Raw genomic sequence first — 22,179 nt, 5'->3', positions numbered from 1 at the left:
ATCCTAGCACTTTGGGAGGCCGAGGCAGGAGGACCACGAGGTCAGGACCAGCCTGACCAAAATAGTGAAACCCTGTCTCTACTAAAAATATAAAACATTAGCCTGGTGTGGTAGTGGGCGCCTATAATCCCAGCTACTCGGTCGGGAAGCTGAGGCAGGAGAATTGTTTGAACCTGGGAGGCGGAGGTTGTAGTGAGCTGAGATCGTGCCACCGCACTCCAGCCCAGGCAACAGAGCAAGACTCCGTTCCCCACGGCAAAAAAAAATAATGTTCATAAATACCAAAATTCAAACCCACATACTAGCAGTCATTCAAAAACAATTTGCAGAGTACTCAGGAGCTCACAAAAACTAAAGATTATTGCACTAGTTTTACCACTGGGAGTAAAACACTGGCTACTGATGACAGTACAATCAACGAACTGGGTCAGTATTTATAACAACGGCATATTATTTCTCTCAGTTCCCTGGGTCCAAGGCCCTGTTGGCTCAGTCTTCCAGTTCTTCCTTAGATTCACCTAGAAGAGAATTATATAGATCAAAGGCATTCATAATGCTATGTGACAATGTAGAAGAACCAGTGACTCACCTTGTAAGTCGTAAGGCATGGGTGTCATGTGGAAAGGATGCCTATAGTCTTGGATGAGGGAGGTATTAATGTAGCTTGTGTCTACAGCAGGAAGGCTTGGGGTGCGGGATACTGGAGATGCTTGATGTGGAAGACTTAAAATGCTGGAAGAAGGAAAGATTGGCATAGTTTTCATTAGCCAGTTAAACTCTCAAGGTTAACAAAAAAAGGGGTTGTATCTCACAATGAACCCTCGGTTTAGTGCTGGAAATAAGAACAAAACCAAGCAAAGCAATGTATAATTTAGATTATACACAATTATGAGAAAATAATTTGTATACATAATAGCATTTAACAGAGGCCACAGGAAGAAGTGGACAGATGCAATGGTATCCAACATTCACAAACCTCACATTGCCTTTGGAATATCATCACCTATGCTTTCAAAATGCAAGAGAAAGGTACAGTTGAGCCACTTTAACGGGATATGAGTGAAAGATACCTACATCAAATGAAAGTCGGAAACCCTTTTAAAACAACACCAGAGTATTGGCTATTAAGAAGCATACGTATGCCCTAGCAAAGAAAATACATATAATAAGACAGAGGGAATGAAGCAATCTGAGTGGTTCGGAGTTACCAGCTGGCCCCTCAGATTGTAATCTTTAGGAGGGCAAAAACTGGGTATTGTTTAGTATACCCAATGCCCAGTACAGTTATCAGCACATTGTTTGCATAAAAGCCCTGCTGAATCTAATGTAGTGAAACAAGAAGAAATACTCCAAAACGAATAGGTAGTGGAGAGTTTTTAAAGAGAGAACAGTATAACTGGAAAAAGAAAACATAAAACAAGAATTAGGACTCTAAAAAACAGTGAAAAGTTTAAATAGCTAAGTAGCTTTTTTTTTAAAATTTACTAACAATTAAGGGAAAGGAAAAAAGGAGAAGAAGGAAAAAATAATAATTTAACTAACTTTGGGGCCAGGCATGGTGGCTCATTCCTGTAATCCCCATACTTCGGGAGGCTGAGGCAGAAGGATAGTTTCAGCCCAGAAGTTGCCCAGCCTGGGCAACATAGGGAGACCCTGTCTCTACGAAAAATTAAAAAGCTTAGCCAGGCCTGGTGGCACGTATCTGTAGTCCCAGCTACTTGGGAGATAGATGAGAGGATTGCTTGAGCCTGGGGGGTCGAGGCTGCATGAGCCGTGATTGCACCACTGCACTCAAGCCTGGGTGACAGAGCAAGAGCCTGTCTCAAAACAAAACAAAAACAAAAACAAAGCTAATTTTGAAAAGAAAAACAATTATAGTAGCCCTCTTAGAAGGAAACATAAGGGTTATATGTTACCCCAACAATACAAGAGGCTGAAGGTGTATGTGTTATAGAAAATAAAGAGAAAGGAAGCAATAAAGAGGCTGTCTTTTGCTTTTAATGCTTCATGTAAAGTACCTGGGGCATGGGGATGCAATTTCAGTGGTATAGAATATTTCAAAAGAGGGCCGGGCGTGGTGGCTCACACCTGTAATCCCAGCACTTTGGGAGGCCAAGGCGCATGGATCACCTGAGGTTGGGAGTTTGAGACCAGCCTCACCAACAGGGAGAAACCCTGTCTCTACTAAAAAATACAAAAAATTAGCCAGGCATGGTGGTGCATGCCTGTAATCCCAGCTACTCGGGAGGCTGAGGCAGGAGAATCACTTGAACCCAGGAGGCGGAGGGTGTGGTGAGCCAAGATGGTGCCACTGCACTCCAGCCTGGGAGATAAGAGTGAAACTCTGTCTCAAAAAAAAAAAAAAAAAAAAAAAAAAAAGAACATTTCACGAGATGACAAGGTTGGATTTCTAGGAATAGAGTTCCAGTTATGACCATCTACCACATTTTAATGAATGGGATATGAAGCATAAAACACACTCTCGTCTGCCTCATAAAAATGTTTCATCTAATGGAAACTTTGTTAAACCTCTTATATCTAGAAAAAGTACCATTTACCATTAGCTGAGTCTTCTCACAATGTCTAAGAGATTATAAGAGAGGATTTAAAATGCTAGTCTTTGAAAACATCTCAAACAGCATAGACAATTTCTGGATGAACATTAAGCACTCAGTGGCTAAAGACAACAAAATGTTTTACATTTAGTGTTTGCCTCTAATTCCTGGCTGCATGCTTTTCTTTCAATTTGTGATAATGTTTTGAAATGCATTTCAACCTTTATACTGCACAATAACAAACACAATATGCTGTACTGAGGTTTCCAGTTACCAACTAGTCATTATTATAAAATGGCTACTAGTGTTGACTATGGTGTGTTATTCTCCTTCTAAGGATGTAAACTTTCAAGTTTCTTGTTTTTATCTGCAAATAGAGAGAGAAATGTCTGGCATTTGCAAATACTATAGCTGGGTTCAATTAGTCACTGGGAAATTCAGGAAGTACTTAATGCATTTAATGTAATTTTCCAAACATAATAAACATTATTTATTTTATTTTCTCCAAATATTTTTGGAGAAAGAGCAAAGTAAATATCCAAAGAAGAAATATTAGATTCCTAAACACTCAAATGTTTTCTTTAAAGAAAAAATATATAGTCAGTAATACTATTGCATAGTTTACATAAATACATATTACTATTAATAGTCTAAAGAACAGAACAAATATATATATTATGATGCATTTAGCCCAAAAGTATTTATATATCCAGAGGTTTATGAAATATCTTTTAAAATTGTGATTATGGCACTTAAAAAAATCACATGACAATGTGTATTTGGTCATACTATGGTTTGATATTTACAAAATATCTTGGAATTGAAATTCTATAGATACTTGTTCTAACTTTAGGTAATGTGACTTTTCCTTTTCTCCTACTCAGACATAAAATACATTGGTGTAATAACAAGGTCAGGCTTGCTGGGTTATAGCCATCAAGATAGGCTTTTATCAGAGGTCATGTTCATAACAGTAGGATTTGTGCTTAAATTATTCACTTTGTTTAGAATGATGATACTGTTTTTAATGTCTTTGTTTCTGTCTGTATGCCAAGATGGACTACTGTAGAATGAAAATACCGATGTGTGAAATGTTTGACTGAAATCTTATTTTTTTTTGAGATGGGGTCTCATTCTGTCACCCAGGTTGGAGTGCAGTGGCACGATCTTAGCTCACTGCAACCTCCACCTCCCAGGTTCAAGTGATCCTCCCCCATCAGCCCTCCGAGTAGTTGGGACAACAGGCACACAGTGCCATACCCAGCTAATTTTTTGGTAGAGACAGGGTTTTACCATGTTGCCCAGGCTGGTCTCAAACTGATAGAAATCTTTAATCTCATCATACAATGTCAAACCTGAAAATGATTTGACTCCAGGCACAGAAATGCCTGCTCTTGATCTGGTGTTGTAACAATGCCATCTATGGACTTCCTTCTCTCTCCTACATTCTTTCTTTAGTCCCTAATGCTTGCTGGAAGAGTTTCTGGTTAGCTTCTATTCAGTTGCAACAGGCCATGTGATTCTCCTGCTTTATACCTAAAAAGGGACACATCTATTTCTAGATTTACAATTAGTGTGCTACAATTGTGCTTCAGCACAATTAGAAATCTTGCTCAGAATCCCTGATGTGTCTACAGGACTAACAGCCTGTTTTGAGAGTATAGTTGGAGTATGCTACTTGTTTTACCACCCCCCAGAAAGTGCTAAGCTGTTTAAGGTTAAGACTGTACTTACTCATTTTATTATCATCCATGCTTAGCTGAGGGTGTTTTATACAAAGTAGATAACAATGTTTCATGAACTGAAGTATAACCTAGGTACACTGTTATTGATATAAGACTAATGGAAAATATGGGAGAAAACTCTGCAAAGTGGGAAATGTTGTGTGCTGCAACAGAAGTCATTCACTACCAGCCTCATTCACATTCTGAAGCAGATTTAAATCATTGGTCTTCCTCTGCTTTCCACTTGAAACACTCAACTTGGGGTGAATTTTACAGCATACATTCCAGTTTGAACAAATGTTCTACATCCTGTGAGCAGGAGCAGGATCACCTGGGAACTTAACTAGAAATACAAATTTTTTCTTTCTTTTTTTTTTTTTTTTTTTGAGACAAAGTCTCGCTCTGTTGCCCAGGCTGGAGTGCAATGGCACGATCTTGGCTCACTGCAACCTCCACCTCCTGGGTTCAAGCGATTCTCCTGCCTCACCCTCCAGAGTAGCTGAGATTACAGGCGCATGCCACCACGCTTGGCTAATTTTTGTATTTTAGTAGAGATGAGGTTTCACCATGTTGCCCAGGCTGGTCTCAAACTCCTGAGCTTGGACAATCCACCTGCCTCAGCCTCCCAAAGTCCTAGGATTACAGGTATGAGACATGACGCCTGGCCTAGAAAGACAAATTTTCTTAGTCTCTACTCCTGACTCAGACATGGGGGCGCAATGTATGCATTTTATTAAGCTCTCAGGTAATTCTGATGTACGTACACCACAGTTTGAGAACCACGGTACTAGAATGATCTTTTGATATGAAGAATACTATATCCAAGTACCCTTTTGGTGCATTACCCCAATCCCTCCAGAGTATTACAAACCTGGGAAAAATTCAAACTATTCTTTGATTGCTAAGTTAAGTTTCACAATCAAGAATCATTTTATTTGGCAAGTCTTTAATCCCTATTTGCCAAGTTAATTTTCATGATTACTTTTTTTTTTAAATGTCTCAGCACTTACCCTTTATTATTTAGTGGTGATGTGGGAGATAGGGAAGGACAGGTCCTCTTGGCAGATGGCTCTTCTTCCTCTTCATCAGATGAACTGTCTATGGTTAGGTCAATCACTTCTACTTTCTTGTTTTTATTTGAGGACTGGTGGTGAGACGCTACCTGATGCTCCAATGTGGAGCTCAAGCATCCTATATGGGAATGATTAAAATACAAGGCAAGGGAAGAGCTATGACATCTCTCTTTTCTCAGTGTCACTACAGTTTATCAGTTACAGTTTAGATTCACAATATTGTTGGAGCCAGAGAGTAGAAAACCAACAGTGGCTCTGTTCTTCTAAGTTTAAAACTATTATTTAATAATAGTAAATTATTTTTCAAAATAATAAATTACTGAATTAGAGCAAACAATCAAAATGTGTCATATGTCCACTTCAGAAGAAAAGTAATTTGAGAGCAGACGGTATATTAATTTTTGTCTGTATAGTATCTGACATACTTAAATACGATGATAGCATTTTCAAAACTCATAGTGTCTTTACAGCAAAAACATACTAAAAGCCAGGAAAAAATAAATAAATGAAAAAAGAACCTTTACTACTCTGTATCAAATCTGTTAAAAATTTAAAAAGGGTACAGTTTCAAAAGTATGAGTTTACAAATGACTAATTATATTACATTACTTTGAAATCTTATATCAGTAAATTTTTTAAAGCTGGCAAAAAAGTGAATTTAAAAGGAGTTCTATTACTTCTGAACATTTAATCAATAAGTTAATAGGAATTATTAAGCTATCCACAAACTGCTCAGTGATTTTTAAAAATATATGGATTTTAATATTGAAAACCAGACTTAGAGCAGTAGGGAGACTGCCTCTTCCTTGTGAAGAACTACTCACCATCGACTCCATTGTAAGAGGCAGAAACTTCCTGTACTTCCTTTTTTGATCTCATCGGTGCCCAAGTGCCATCCTCCTTAAATTGTATTTCATCACAGTCTGTACAGTACTTTAGGATTTCCATAAACAAGCTATAAGAAAACAATTCATCCTTAGAATATATTTTAAATGAACATAAAGGTTGAACAACTTAAGTTATATTTATTCTTAAAATCTAGTACTAACTAGGAATATAGCTGCCTAATTTATGTCACATTTATGTAAGAAAATATCATGTGACCATGAAAAATGACATTTTCAAAGATTTTTAATCATATGGGAAAATGTTCACAAAAAGTGAGAAAACGTCAACAAAAGAAAGCTTCATTTCAAAAATAAAATTCTGTGTGAGTAGTATATAGACAGTAGTTACCTCTGGGTGATACCTTCATGAGTATTTATTTTTCTTCTTTATACTTTTTTGCATATTCTAAATTGCCCACAATAAGCATGTCTTATTTGATAAACTAAAGCAAAACATATACAAATATGTAATCAAAGGTTAAATCTCTTTGATAAAATACCGTGACAGACATTTAAAAACATGTATAAAGAAAGCATAAAATTAATTACGGCCAAATTCTTAGGTTATAATGTTAAATGAAACCAAAGGACAAAAATTATTAACAGTGTACAATCACAATTATGGAAAGACAAAAATCAGAAAATCATATACCGAAAAAAGCTTTTTATTTTCCTGTGTTTTCCAATTTTTCTTTAAAAGAGTATGTGTGTACATGGCTTTTATAACAAGAAATGGGAGAACCTAAAGCTATGTAACATATAAAGTTGGAAAATATCACTATTTAATTCTGATTTACTAGTAAGTGATCACCGACATTTCTGAAAAATTAAACATAAAACATTTAAGTTACATGTTGTTTGTTTGTTTGTTTCCCATGACTGGTCTGACATCTTTCAAGCTCCAGGTTATACTTGTATTGCTAAATATACTTAATTTCTGATATTACCACCTTTAGGCTCCTATGTTTTCTTAAATACTACAGGTAAGTTGCCTTAAGTGTTTTGCTAGAAAGTACAGGAAATATTAAGTAGAGGCTGGGTGTGGTGGCTCACATGCCTGTAATCTCAGTACTTTGGGAGGCCAAGGCAGGAGGATCACTTGAGCCCAGGAATTCGAGAGCAGCCTGGGCAAAATGGCAAGACTCTGTCTCTAACCCCCCATCCCCAAAAAAATCAAGGAGATGTCCTCCTTTTCACAATTTGTTTTTGTTTAGTGGCAAAAAGCAGGAGGAAAAGGGGGCTGCAGAATAGAAGAAAATTTAGAGGAACATTCCAAGATGTCTGGTAGGATAGATAAAACAAAGAGGTGTTAAAAGCAATAATTGGTTTTGTGATGCTATAGGTGGGCAAGACAAAAAAGAAAAAGAAGACCATGACTGAAGGTGGATCTAATCTCCAGAAATAGGCTAACTTCTATTGAAAAGCCCAATTTTGGATGAACCTGAGTTAACCCAAATTTCCCCATACATTCTTGTTCCAATATGGTCTGCATATCTAGGGATGGATGGACTAATGACAGGAAAAGGAAAAGGTATAAGCACACCCTGCTTAAAAGCACCAGTGCTTTCAACGACAAATGCCAGGAGGCACTGACAGTAACACACGCATTTTCAAACCAAGGGAACATCAATTTAAAAAGATAAAATATTCATAACACTAATTTGAAATAAATTACTTTGAAAATATTGGTTTGCAGACTCACAAAAATCCTACAAATATATAACTTAGAATTTTCATCCCAAATCTGATGTGTAACAAACCCAGATAATATATGGTCATTTCAAGGTACCAAAAACACTTAAAGTAACATACCCATCAATAATAAGGTGTTCATATGGAGCCTTCTTATCACAGACAGGACAAACCCAGGTTGGTTTTTTCTCATTCATCTGAATGTAAAGAGTTGCGTCAAAACATTGTAGATGAGAACATGTAAGGGCCCGACACGGAATTGTCAGCCGCATTTTACCAAGCTTTAAAAAGGGAGAAAAAGTAAATATTAGATAATTGCTATTCAACATTTAAGCTTTGACAAAAATTTCCTAGAACACAACAGGTAGGCATGCTGATTTAAAGCATACAGTGTTGACTTTTCATCAATGTAGAAGAACATTAAACACATTTCCTGTGAAATATCCATAGGTTAAAAAATGACAGTATTTCTTTGGCTATCAAACAAAATGACTATGGAAAGTCTACAACAAGGGTTATTTACTAAAATCCACAGCTCACAGATCAGCTTTTGGTGGAGAGGGTCATAAACCCCTTGAATTACATTCAAAATTTCGTGTGTGCATTTTTCTGGAGAGAGTGCTTTCACCAGTTTTTTTTTTTTAAACAGATGGGGTCTTGCTATATTGCCCAGGCTGAAGTGCCAACTCTTATTCACAGGCACAATCGTAGCACACTACAGCCTCAAACTCCTGGGCTCAAGCAATCCTCCTGCCTCAGCCTCCAGAGTAGCTGGGGATACAGGCGCACACCACTGTGCCCGGCTTTTCTCAAATTCTTAAAGCAGTCCTTGATCCAAAAAAAATTTAAGAACCACCTTACTAGGGATTAGGGAAAATAAAGAATGCCCTATTAAATACTGCACAATACAGAGATGCATTGATATTTGCTATCAGTCTTATCTATGAATGAAAGTAGTTCACAGGACAAAACTGAATCAATAGTGATCATTCCCCATGATGTTTGGCATAATTGCCAAGTGGCAGCTCTGAGGAGGAAGGCAGGTGCACACACTCTGCATTGCTTCCTCACTGGGAACCATCACGAGCAATTCAGCCTACAGCCCTGGACCTCTAGCATCTCCAGCATGTCAGGAGACTTCTTGCCCTGCAAATATTGCTTCAGCTAACACGGGTTGAGTCTATCCAGGAAGAGGAAATCTGCTTCATCTGGTCCCTGAGCTGCTAGCTTTAGCCCAAGGCAGAAAAGCCACGCAGAAACCTGCACAGGGAGGTACCACATCACTATCTCATTCCCTGGAAGCCAGCTTGTACCACTGTAGAGTCCCCAGATCCCACAATGGCCACCATATAGCAGAGAAGTTATCTACTTTCAATAACCACATTATTTGCCAAGTACCAGGAAAAGATTTGTGAACTTGAAAAATATAAACGCTTGTGCTGGAGAGGATGTGGAGAAATAGGAATGCTTTTACACTGTTGGTGGGACTGTAAACTAGTTCACCATTGTGGAACACAGTGTGGCAATTCCTCAAGGATCTGGAACTAGAAATACCATTTGACCCAGCAATCCCATTACTGGGTATATACCCAAAGGATTATTATAAATCATGCTACTTATAAAGACACACTGGACACGTATGTTTATTGCAGCACTATTCACAATAGCAAAGACTTGGAACCACCCCAAATGTCCATCAATGATAGACTGAATTAAGAAAATGTGGCACATATATACCATGGAATACTATGCAGCCATAAAAAAGGATGAGTTCATGTCCTTTGCAGGGACATGGATGAAGCTGGAAACCATCATTCTGAGCAAAGTATCACAAGGACAGAAAACCAAACATCACATGTTCTCACTCATAGGTGGGAACTGAACAATGAGAACACTTGGACACAGGGCGGGGAACATCACACACCAGGGCCTGTCTTGGGGTGGGGGGCTGGGGGAGGGATAGCATTAGGAAAAATACCTAATGTAAATGATGAGTTAACGGGTGCAGCAAACCAATATGGCACATGTATACCTGCACGTTGTGCACATGTACCATAGAACTTAAAGTATTTTATATATATATAAAACATATAAAAGAAAAAAATATATATGAAAGAAAAATATAAAGGCTTGAAAAGAATATGAGTTAAATGAGGAAAAGATTCTTGGCTTACTTAGATCAATTTCAGGGAAATGTGAAATTTCCTAGTCTACCAGGAAATTAACTGTCATTTGGGGCCCAAAATAATTGCTTTGATACCGATGATTTACTGTGTCTCTAAGAAAGGCATTTAGCCTTTCTGGGCCTCTTTTACTTTCTCTAAATTAACACTATTTCCTCCTTACTTCAACCAGATGTAGCCATGATGAATAAAAATAGAACACTGAACATGCTATAAACTTACTGAGACTAGAGCAATGCCAGTTTACAGTATCAGAAGTATAACCTGGAGGGACCTAGAGTAAAAACTGGTAACTCCCTTCTGTGTACTCCCAACTCTACACTCCTGCATATGATTACAATCAAGCACCACATAACATTTTGGTCAACACTGAACCGCATATACGATAGAGGTCTTCAAATTAAGACAGCCATGTTACTGGTTTCTGTATTTACTATACTTTTTATCATTATTTTGGAGTGTACTCCCTTTACTTATATATATTTTAAAAGTTAACTGTAAAACAGCCTCAGGCAGGTCCTTCAGGAGGTATTCCAGAAGAAGGCACTGTTACCATAAGAGAGAACAGCTCCATGTCTGTTACTGCCACTGAAGACGTTCCAGTGGGAAAAGATGTGGAGGTGGAAAGTAGTGATACTGATGATCCGGACCCTGTGCAGGCCTAGGCTAATGTGTGTTTGTGTCTTTGTTTTTAACAAAAAAGTTTAAAAAGTAGAAAATAAAAGTAAAAAATGTTAAAAATAGAAAAAAGCTTATAGAATAAGGATATAAAGAAAGAAAATATTTTTGTACAGCTGTACAATGTGCTTGTGTTTTAAGCTAAGTGTTGTTATTACAAGAGTCAAAAGTTAAAAAAAATAAAAAGCTTATAAAATAAAAAAGTTACAGTGGCCAGGTGTGGTGGCTCACACCAGTAATCCCAGCCCTTTGGGAGGCCGAGGAGGGAGAATCACCTGAGATCAGGAGTTTGAGACCAGCCTGGCCAACATGGCGCAACTCCGTCTCTACTAAAAATACAAAAATTAGCCAGGCATGGTGGCACACGTCTGGGATCCCAGCTACTTGGGAGGCTGAGGCAGGAGAATCGCTTGAGCCTGGGAGGCAGAGGTTACCGTGAGCCAAGATCACACCAGTGCACTCCGGCCTGGGTGACAGAGGGAGACTCTGTCTCAAAAAAAAAGTTACAGTAAGCTAAGGTTTATTACTGAAGAAAGAAAAATATTTTAAATTTATTGTAGCCAAAGTGTACAGTGTTTATAAAGTCTACAGTGATGTAAAGTGATGTCCTAGACCTTCACATTTGCTCACCACTCACTGACTTATTTGGAGTAACTTCCAGTCCCGTAAGCTCCATTCATAGTAAGTGCCCCATACAGGTGTACCATTTTTCATCTTTTATACTTTTTACTGTACCTTTTCTATGTTTAGGTACACAAATACTTAGCATTGTGTTACAACTGCCTACAGTATTCAGTTTTGTAACATGCTGTACAGTTTTGCAAACTAGGAGCAATAGGCCAAGGTACATAGTAAGCTATACCATCTAGGTTTGTGTAAGCACACCTATGATGCTTTTGTTGAATAACAACAAAATCCCCTAATAGTGCATTTCTCAAAAGGTATCCCTATCATTAAGGCATGCAAAACTGATTGTTATTTATTTATGTGTGTCTCCTCCTACTAGAAACAGGTTGGACTAATTTCCTTGTTCCCATACTTGGAAATATACAGCAGTAAGACAGTCCTGTGCACTGATAAGGCTTCAGTTCTGCATGATGGGCAATTCCAGGAGGCACCACTCATGGAAGGTATGCAGGTCATACTCAGTCATTTATAGTGCAGCCTGAGTATGAGTTCTGGTGTTAGAATGAATCCTGGCCCCACTACCTACCTACTGTGTGAATTCTGAATGTTATTTTACTTAATCACTCAGAGGCTCAGTTTTGTAAAATGGGGATAAAAATGGGATCTACACAATATGATTGTGGGGATTCAATTACGTTTACTACACAGTACCTGACACATAGTAACTTTTCAATAAATAACAGTAGTATTAATTAAAGTACAGAAACATATTTGCTTTAAAAATCACTTTGTACACTAGGAGACCCACCCAAACCTCAGCTTAGTAGTCATTCTTTTACTCTGGGCTCACAAAGTATTAAACAGCTTCATTAGACTCCCTTACTGCATTTCTACTCAATTTTAATCTTTGTATTTTTTGAGAAACAGTCTCACAAGCAATTCTCCTGTCTCAGCCTCCCAAGTAGCTGGGATTACAGGCAGGTGCCACCATGCCTGGCTAATTTTTGCATTTTTAGTAGAGACAGGGTTCGCCATGTTGGCCACACCGGTCTCAAACTCCTGGCATCAAGTGATCTGCACACCTTGGCCTCCCAAAGTGCTGGCATTATAGGCGTGAGCGACATGCCCAGCCAATTTTTTATGATTTGATTTACATAAGCACCTGATAAAAAGGCCAAAAGAACAAAGTAGTTATTATAACAGAAAAATTACCATTAGGCAAGATACCATGTTGCATTAGTTCAGAAACATTTTCCAAATAGCAATCTGGTTGGTGGTGCCAAGTTACGTTTTTAGATCTTATGTCAGACCTTAGCTTATCTATGAAATACAAATTCCTATTTTATAAGGTACTTTTGCTATTGCCTTAATACTAAGTAGAGAAACCACAGACTAAAAATTCTAGAGAAATACAGTAATAGTACACAAGGTTTATGAACTGTAGAACTATCAGACTACTTCTGATCGTTTATGAAAACAACAGATAAGATGATAAGAAATAAAGATTGTTTCAGAATCCAAGCTACAGGCCATGAAATTTATACTCTGAAAAGCAGCTGTTTTCCAAAGGCCTTCATCTCACATACCTTTACCCCATGATCTCCAGCTGTCAGTTCATATCTTTTAGGCAAGAGAGCAACTCTCAAGCCTTTATCTTCAGCTATACTGACAAGGTGACCTACAGAGTTTTTAAGGAACGCTGACACAGAAATGGTACAAGACAGACATAAATGGGTATGTGAAAGCAAAAGCTCGCTTTCAAATGCATTATTAGCTGCCACACAAATGCCTTAGAATCATAAAATAACTATTATGTGATAATTCTCATATTCCTGATTTTTTTTAAAAAAATCACTAAATTCTAAATAATTATCTGAAAAACAGATATCGATTTTCTCTAACTTGGTAACAAGAGAGAAGCTGAGCTTTGAACGTCTTCATCTTGTGATTACAAATTCTTCCTTTCCCTTTATAGGACACAAATTATGTTTGCATTATTTGCAAATAAGCACTTTAACTCCCAAATGTGTTTTCTAACGCCACTAACTTTACAATAATAGTGCTATCTATATTAGTAACTGATGACGCTGCAAGAGAAAACATTCTAGATAAAAGTTTTAACCAACTTATATTTTTAAAAAGCCCTAAAAATGTCAATAAAACGTGCTTTTTCCTTGCAAAAGGAAAGGAAAAAGTGTGACATTAAAAATAATTTCAGCTGGGCACAGTGGCTCACACCTGTAATCCCATCACTTTGGGAGGCTGAGGCAAGCGGATCACTTGAGGTCAGGAGTTCCAGACTAGCCTAGCCAACATGGTGAAACCTCATCTCCACTGAAAATACAAAAATTAGCCGGGCGTGGTGACAGGCGCCTGTAATACCAGCTACTCAGGAGGTTGAGGCAGGAGAATTGCTTGAACCCAGGAAGTGGAGGTTGCAGTGAGCTGAGATCACACCACTGCACTCCAGCCTGGGCAACAGAACAAGACTCTGTCTCAAAAAATAAAATTTTAAAAAGGCTGGGAGTGGTGGCTCACACCTGTAATCCCAGCATTTTGGGAAGCTAAGGCAAGCAGATCACCTGAGGTCAGGAGTTTGAGACCAGCCTGGCCAACATGGTGAAACCCCATCTCTACTAAAAATACAAAAAATTAGCCAGGCGTGGTGGCGTGCACCTGTAGTTCTAGCTACTTGGGAGGCTGAAGCAGAGGAATTGCTTGAACCTGGGAGGTGGAGGTTGCAGTGAGCCAAGATCTGGCCACTGTACTCCAGCCTGGGTGACAGAGCAAAACTCTGTCTCAAAAACAAAACAAAACAAAAAGAATAATTTCACAAGTTTTTTTCACAATAATAAATATTTCATAAATACATTTCCAGAGTTTATCTTCTTTTCTTCTATCAATTCCACGTTATTTGTATTTGGGTTTACAAAGCAGCTTTTCAAAGATTCCTCCACCTCTATTTTTAATAAATCAGAACCATAAAATTCCCAAAGAGTAAAAACATTTTTAATTATTTTTGTTGCCTTTAGCTAAATGGCACAGAAACAAAAGAAACTCATTTATTTTGAGCTCTGTACATCACAAGGGCAACTGTAATGCACAGTGAGACATCATATTTACATATTTCAAAGAGCACAAATCTCTTTTATTATCCCATAAATTTGATATATAGGTATTATTAAATTTTATTTTTGAGTAAAAACATACCTAAAATACATGATCTTACTATTTCAGAATAACTGTAAGGGATTATCCCTTTAGCCAAATAGAAACCCATGAAAGTATTATAATTATACATTTTACACATACACACACACACACACACACACAATATACATATATAGTTGTTTTGTTTTATAATCTGAATTTTTAAAGCAGATGTCAATTTAAAATGAACTGCTGGCCAGGTGTGGTGGCTCACGCCTGTAATCCCAAGGGAGGCCAAGGCAGGAGGATTGCTTGAGGCCAGGAGTCCATGACCAGCCTGGGCAACATATCAAGACCTTGTCTCTACAAAAAAATGCAAAAATCAGCCGGGTGTGGTGGCACATGCCGGTAGTCCCAGCTACTTGGGGGGTTGAAGCAGGAGCACTGCATGAACCTGGGAGGTGGAGGCTGCAGTGACCTGAGATGGCAGCACTGCACTCCAACCTGGGTGACAAAGTGAAACCCCGTCTCAAAAAAGAAAATAAATAAAGGTGCAAAGAGCAAAATGTGATTAATAGTTTCTAGTAATACAGAGATGAGCACCTGCACTACAGAATTGAAACACAGTTCCACAAATAAAACTTCAAAGATTTATATTACTGTGCTTATTTATACGAATAAATGCTTCATATATGTGTTAAACATAAAGCATCATATATATTAGTACAACTATAAACACTTTTAAGTGAGATTGCAGAAAAACAATACTTTTTCCAGTGATTTAAATGGAAAATGAAGTGTATGTACTTTTCTAAACGTATTTTCTGAATTGGTGTTTTACAACAAAATGAGGCGGCAAAGAACAACAGATGGGGGAATGGATAAATCAGGGTTTCGGAGAAAGAGGGTAGAATAAATATACACCTTTTTACCTTTTTCTTTAAAAAAAAAATTTGTCTTTTTCTCACCCTCTACTTCCCCAGTCTGTGAATCATTTTTCTAAGCATGAAAAGAAAAAAAAAATAAAAAAACAAAAAAACCACACACACAAAAACCCACACCAGTCTCCTTTACAACCTAGGCTGTTATAACATTTACCTGGTTACTTAAAGAATTTTTAACACTAATATAAAAAGCCTGGAGTCAAAATATTTTTCACAAGAAAAAAATTGGCTTTATTATAAAAAGGAATAAAAATAAACGTTACAGGAATAGAAAGATATATACACAATGATACAATTTGATGATTTTAATTAACTTCATTGTATTTTTTTCTATAACTTACAGAAACTAATTCATGATCTAATTTTTTCATGTTTGAAGTTTCATAAATTACAAAAGACTAATATTTGTAATTACAAATAACATTTAATTTCTATTTAAATTCTTTGTTTCTTTAAGAATACAGTAACTTCATCATCATCTGAGATTAATAGGATCTCAGTATCAAAAGCTTTCAATATCAGGCCTGTCTGAACAATCAGACAAATCAGGAAACAGACATGTCCTTTCATTCTTTCTCCCAAATTTAAAATATGATTAGTTTGATTAATTATAGAACAAAAAGTAACCAAAATGTCAAGGTAATTAATTATTAAATTTTTCACATATTTTCATATGGCCATATTCAACCACCACCCCTACCAAAGAGCCTAACATCAGATTAGTATAACATTTTTTTGAGACCTTTTCCCTTACAGGTTTAATAATTTGGCTAAGTCTTGGGACCATATATTTATTTCATGAAAATGATTGATTCTGACCTCATTTTCTGGCTTAAAATATCTCAAGGTTTTTTTATATGTATAACAAATTCAGCATTTAGGCTGAACAGAAGTTTTTAATTGGTGAATTGTTATAATGTGGTCATTGTTAGCAAAATGGTTAAATGAGATGTGTGGGTAATCATGGCTAGATTTTTACTCAGAAAGGTACTATCTTAAGTAAAATTTTTGGCCAGGTGCGGTGGGTCACACCTATAGTCCCAGCACTTTGGGAGTCCAAGGCGGGTGGATCACCTGAGGTCAGGAGTTCGAGACCAGCCTGACCAACATGGAGAAACCCCATCTCTACTAAAAATACAAAATTAGCCAGGTGTGGTGGCGCATGCCTATAATCCCAGCTACTCAGGAGGCTGAGGCAGGAGAATCGCCTGAACCCGGGAGGCAGAGGTTGTGGTGAGCCGAGATGGCACCATTGCACTCCAGCCTGGGCAACAAGAGCGAAACTCCATCTCAAAAAAATAACAATAATAAAAATAAATAATGTAAAATTTTTATAAATACACTGAGACAATAAACATTTCTTATTTTGAGATTTTACACTTGAGCCTGAGAGATGGTCATTAATCACAGGCCATATTTAGATATGTCTTACTAAGAGTAGATCATTTTTAAAGACTTGTTTAGATTCCAAATGCAATGCCTAGATGTCTTTCCACTTTTCATAAACTGTAACAATGGTGGACATATTTTAGAAGCAAACAGAATTTCTCAAATAGTAAAAATACTTAATAAAAAGAGAAAATGTATGTTAAACTTTCTGGAAAGCAAGTAATAGTTAACACTTACTGGACATAGTAGAGAAACCCTTAGGCTGGTTGTAGCTATTTCACTGTCTGGATCCGCAGTCAACTTCTCTTTAACTGATATTCATTGAAGAAGAAGAAAAAAAGCAAACAGAGTTTTATTAAAGATACATTACTGGAGCATTACTATAAAGAATAAAAAGCTTAAACAAATCTGTTCAATTATTTCCCAATCAATTGAATGGAAAGATAAAAACAACCATATGGCTTTTAATTCTATAAGCAAAGGATGGAAAACAATTGTTTATCTGTAGAATGACTATGTTTCCTATAAATTTCCTATTTCTCACTCAGGGGACAAAAACCTGCAGCAATATGAGAGAAATTTCTCTAATATGTTGACATATTCAACTAATGGTAGACCCTTTTTCTTTTATAACTCTAAGATATTGGATCAAGGTTTTCTTTCTTTTAAACTATGACTAATATTACTTGGGCTCTTCTACTTTCGAGGACATTAATAATAAGAATAACATTTATACATTTTTGAAAGCTCAGAAAATAAAAATATTTACTGTAAAACAGCTTAATTCAAACTTCAAATTATGAAAAGAGTCCTATTTCTTTTTTTTAACTATACAATTATTTGAATTTTAATCTATTTCTCTATAAAATACTTGTGCCCTCTTAGGCAAGTCAATCCTCCTTTCTCAGCTTAATTTTACTTGTAGTAAAATTGGAACCCACACTAGATAATCTTTAAGTCTTTTCACTTCAAACTTCTTATGGTTCTTAAGGGAGGAGACACTAGTAATTTTACTTTTCCAAGGCTGTTCTTTCATTCTCTTTCAGTCTGATATGAAAGACTCTTTATACTTCTCATCTGGAAACCTTAGCTGTTACCTCTGAAAACTTCAATAACAGTAACAAGAAAAAACATTATAGGGGGTGAGACAGGAAATACATATATGTAATATTCCAACAATTTTAGAAACTGTCCCATAATAACTTTAAAGTCTATATTGTACAAAGGGGCCGTAAGTTGGGTAGCTGTATACACAGTCAACAGAAGTTCTGAGCTGTGGTACAACTAAGTGTGACCAGATAAGACACCATATAGAAAAGAAAACGAAGAGAGGGAGAAGTACTCGGGTAAGTTACAATTTCAGAGTCTACTGTTCTGATAACCATTTATGAGAAATCCTACCTTTATTAAACACAGTCCCCTGGATTTTAGTCTGGATTTTTTTAGATGGTCCAAATCCTGGAGATCCTATCCAACTATTTCCATAAATTAGTGGATCTCAAGTAAGGTGCACATCAGACCTACCTACAGAGCTTCCTGAATCAGAATGAAAAGAGGGACACCAATTGGTAGTTTTTTAAAAGCTCCAGATATGATTCTAATGCCAGACTAAAAAGTCATTTCATGGCCTGGAAATTCCAAATTTTCAAAGTCTTAATATATTTCACAGGCTGTCTCCTGACACACAAAAAAGGCATACAACTTCTGGTTTTTAGTTTGGAAAATATAGTTGTAACACTATGCTAATGAATACCATATATAAATTACAAAAAGTATGCCTTTGTCATTATACACCAAATCTTAGTCAATCCTTTCTTATAAATATGATTTTAAAAAGTAGTATCTTTGTTAAAGGCAACAAATAATCGCCATATGAAATAAACATGCAAATAGAATTCTAATGTGATTACTCACTGTGTTGGCTAATTTTAGGTGTCAACTAACTAAACGAAGGGCTACCTACATAGCTGGCAAGGCATAATTTCTGAAAGTGTCTGCGAGTGTGTTTCCAAAGGAGACTGGTGTGTCAGTCTGTGGATGAGTGAGGAAGATGTGCCCTCAATCTTGGCGGACACCATCAAATCAGCTGGAGGGCATGGAAAGAACAAAAAGGCAGAGGAAAGGAAAATAAATTCACTTTCTCTTTTTCCTTGAGCTGGGATACCCTTCTTCTCCTGCCTTTGGACTTCTGTGATCCCAGCTACTTGGGAGCCTGAGGTAGGAGGATTGCTTGAGGCCAGGAGTTTGAGACCAGTCTGGGCAACACAGTAAGACCCCATCTTTAAAAAGAAAGAATTCCAGGTTCTCTGGGCTTGGGACTCTGGGATTTGTACCACCATATCAGCCCTTCTCCTCACCCCTCTTAGGCCTTTGGCCTTAGATTGAGAGTTGGCTTCCTGGATCTGTGGCCCCTGGACTTCAATAGTCACATTACTGGCTTCGCTGGTTCTCCAGCTTGCTGATGGCCTATCTATTGTGGGCATTCTCAGCCTTCATAGTCATGTGAGCCAATTCCCCTAATACATCTCCTCTTAACTCACTCTCTCTCATCTCTCTCTCTCCTTTTCCTCTCTTCCTCTCCTTCCCCTCCTAGAGTTTCTCCGGAGAACCCTGACTAATAACCACTCTACATGCCTTCACCAACCATCCCACCAGCACCCTTTATAGACATAGCAAGCAATGGGCATAGTAACTGACTTTGAACTTTGCATATTTAAATTTCCACTTAAATGAAGCAATATTATAGATCATAGTATCAACCTTATACAAAACAAAGCTCAGTGTTTAGTGCTTAGAAAATAAATTGAAATAAGAGAGGCAACATAAAGTAGTGGTTAAGAGCATAGGACCTAGGGATAGCCTAGCTTAGAATTTAGTCTCAGTTAAATCACTTAACCTCTCTATGCCTGTTACATCATCCGGTAAATGGGAACAATAATAGTACCTCACAGAACTGTTTTAAGGATTGAGTTAATATGCATAAAAAGTTTCAAAATACACTTGAGCCTGGGAGGCAGAGGTTGCAGTGAGCTGAAATTGCTGCCATTGCACTCCAGCCTGGGTGACAGAGTGAGATCCTGTCTCAACAACGACAAGAAAAAAAAATTTTTTTTGAGACAGAGTCTCACTCTGTCACCCAGGCTGGAGTCAGTGGTGAGATCTTGGTTGACTGCAGCCTCTGCATCCCAGGTTCAAGTGATTCTCCTGCCTCAGCCTCCCAAGTAGCTGGGATTAGAGGTGTGCACCACCATGGCTCAGCTAATTTTTGTATTTAGCAGAGACAGGGTTTCACCATATTGGCCAGGCTGGTCTCAAACTCCCAACCTCAGGTTATCTGCCCACTTTGGCCTCCCAAAGTATTGGGAATATGGGCATAGCCACCATGCTGGCAACAAAAAAAGTTTTAAAATAGCCTAATATTATTCTCAATAAATATTAGCTATTGTTACTTAAAATAAAACACGATTTATATATTCACTTTCTCTCAGAGGTGGGAGAATTTTCTGAAATTATTTTAGAATGTTTGCCAATTTCTATTAAAAAAAAAAAAAAACCTATGCCTTCTCTTTTGCCATTACAGACCCAATCCTAGTCCTTTTATTCTTGTAAAGATATTTTTTAAGGTCCTACCGGGATCTTGATTAGACTGGATTAATTCTACAGATTAATTTGGAGAACTGACATACAACAATAGAATCTTTCAATCTCTTAGCAAGATATATCTCTCCGTTTATGCAGGTCTTCTTTCAGTTTTTCTCAACCATGCTTTGTAGTTTTCGGCATACAAATCTTGCACATAGTTTGTGTGATGTATCCCCACGTGTTTCATATTTTTGGATGTTACTGTAAAATCTTTTTTGAATTTCAATTTCCAATTGTTCATTACTAACAGAAATACAATTTGTTTTTGTATATTGACCATGCATTCTCTAACTCTGCTAAACTCACATAGTATTTCTAGTAGCTTTTTTGGAGATTCTTTGGGATCTTTTTCTATGCAGACCATAAGGTCATTTGTAAATAAAGACTATAATTATTTCTTCATTTCTAACCTGTGTGTTGGTTTCTTTTTTAAAACTTTTCCTTGTCTTATTGTGCTGTCTAGGATCTCTAGGGCAACGCTAGGGGCAGATATCCTTGCCTTGTTCTCAATCTTAGGAGTGAAGCATTCAAGTTTTAGACCATTAGTGATGATATCAGCTGTAGTGTAGACTTTTTGTAAATACTCTTTATTACACTGAGGCAGCTCCCTTCTCGATTTTGCTGACAGTTTTATCATGAATGGATGTTGAATTTGGCCAAGTGCTTTTTCTGCATCTCTGGAGATGATCATATGATTTTTCATTTTTAGTTTGTTGAGAAGGTGAATTATATTTCAGCATTTGAATGCTGAAACCAACTTCGTATTACAGAAATAAATTCTGTTTGGTCACCATGTATTGTTTCACCTACTGGACTTAACAACATTCAAAACAATTCTGAAAAAGAAAAACAAAATTGGAGAATTCTAACTGATTTCAAGACTTACTATCAAGCTACGGTAATTAAGACTCGTTTGGCATAAGGATAGACATACAGGTCAATGGAAAAGAATAACGTCCGGAAATAGATTTATACATCTATGGTCAATTGGTTTTTGATAAAGGTGCCAAGGTAATGAAATGGAAGGAAAGACAGTCTTTTCAACAAATGCTGTTGGAATATTTCGATATCTATGTGGGGGAAAAAATGAATCTCTACTCTCACCTTGCATATACAAAAATTAACTCAAAATGAATCACAGACCTAGATCCAAGAGCTCAAACAATAAAATTTCTAGAAGAAAAATAGAAGAGAGTGTTTGTGACTTTCATTTAGGCAAAGATTTCATAATATATCAAAAGCATGACATTAAAAAATGGGCAAAAAATTTGGCAGATACTTCATCAAAGAAGCTATAAGAATGGCAAATAAGCACCTGAGAAGATGCTTAACATCCTTAGACATCAGAAAAATGCACAAAGAAATACCACTACATACCAATCACGATGGCTACAATAAAGCAGCCTGATGATACCATATGCTGGTAAGGATGTGGAGCCACTTGAAATCTCACACATTGTTAGTGGGAATGCAAAAATGGTATATTTACTTTAAAAGAAATTGCCAAACTGTTTTCCATATATACTTATCATATGACCCAGCAATCCCACTCCTAGGTATTTACCCAAGAGAAATGAAAACATATGTCTACAAAACTGAGGTATCCATATGCAAAATGTAAATGTTTACAGCAGC

General features: G+C 37.0%; 1 protein-coding gene across 7 annotated transcripts in view; it reads right to left on the bottom strand.

Annotated features, from left to right (window-relative positions):
- The window catches only part of PIAS1 (protein inhibitor of activated STAT 1), a 139,533-nt gene that overhangs the window by 11,904 nt on the left and 105,450 nt on the right, over positions 1 to 22,179 (bottom strand). For all 7 annotated transcript variants that reach the window (XM_017022688.2, XM_011522126.3, XM_017022689.2 and 4 more), the window contains 5 exons: positions 17,140 to 17,213; positions 8,052 to 8,212; positions 6,177 to 6,307; positions 5,290 to 5,470; positions 590 to 732 (listed from right to left, as the gene is read on the bottom strand). In XM_017022688.2, coding sequence (XP_016878177.1) covers positions 590 to 732; positions 5,290 to 5,470; positions 6,177 to 6,307; positions 8,052 to 8,212; positions 17,140 to 17,213 — 690 coding nt within the window. The remainder of the gene's footprint in view (positions 1 to 589; positions 733 to 5,289; positions 5,471 to 6,176; positions 6,308 to 8,051; positions 8,213 to 17,139; positions 17,214 to 22,179) is intronic.

This window comes from Homo sapiens, chromosome 15 (genome assembly GCF_000001405.40).
Source record: "Homo sapiens chromosome 15, GRCh38.p14 Primary Assembly".
NCBI classification, from domain to species: Eukaryota; Metazoa; Chordata; class Mammalia; order Primates; family Hominidae; genus Homo; species Homo sapiens.
The sequence above is the reverse complement of the archived record's forward strand: the minus strand, read 5'-3'. Positions and strand labels throughout refer to the sequence as shown.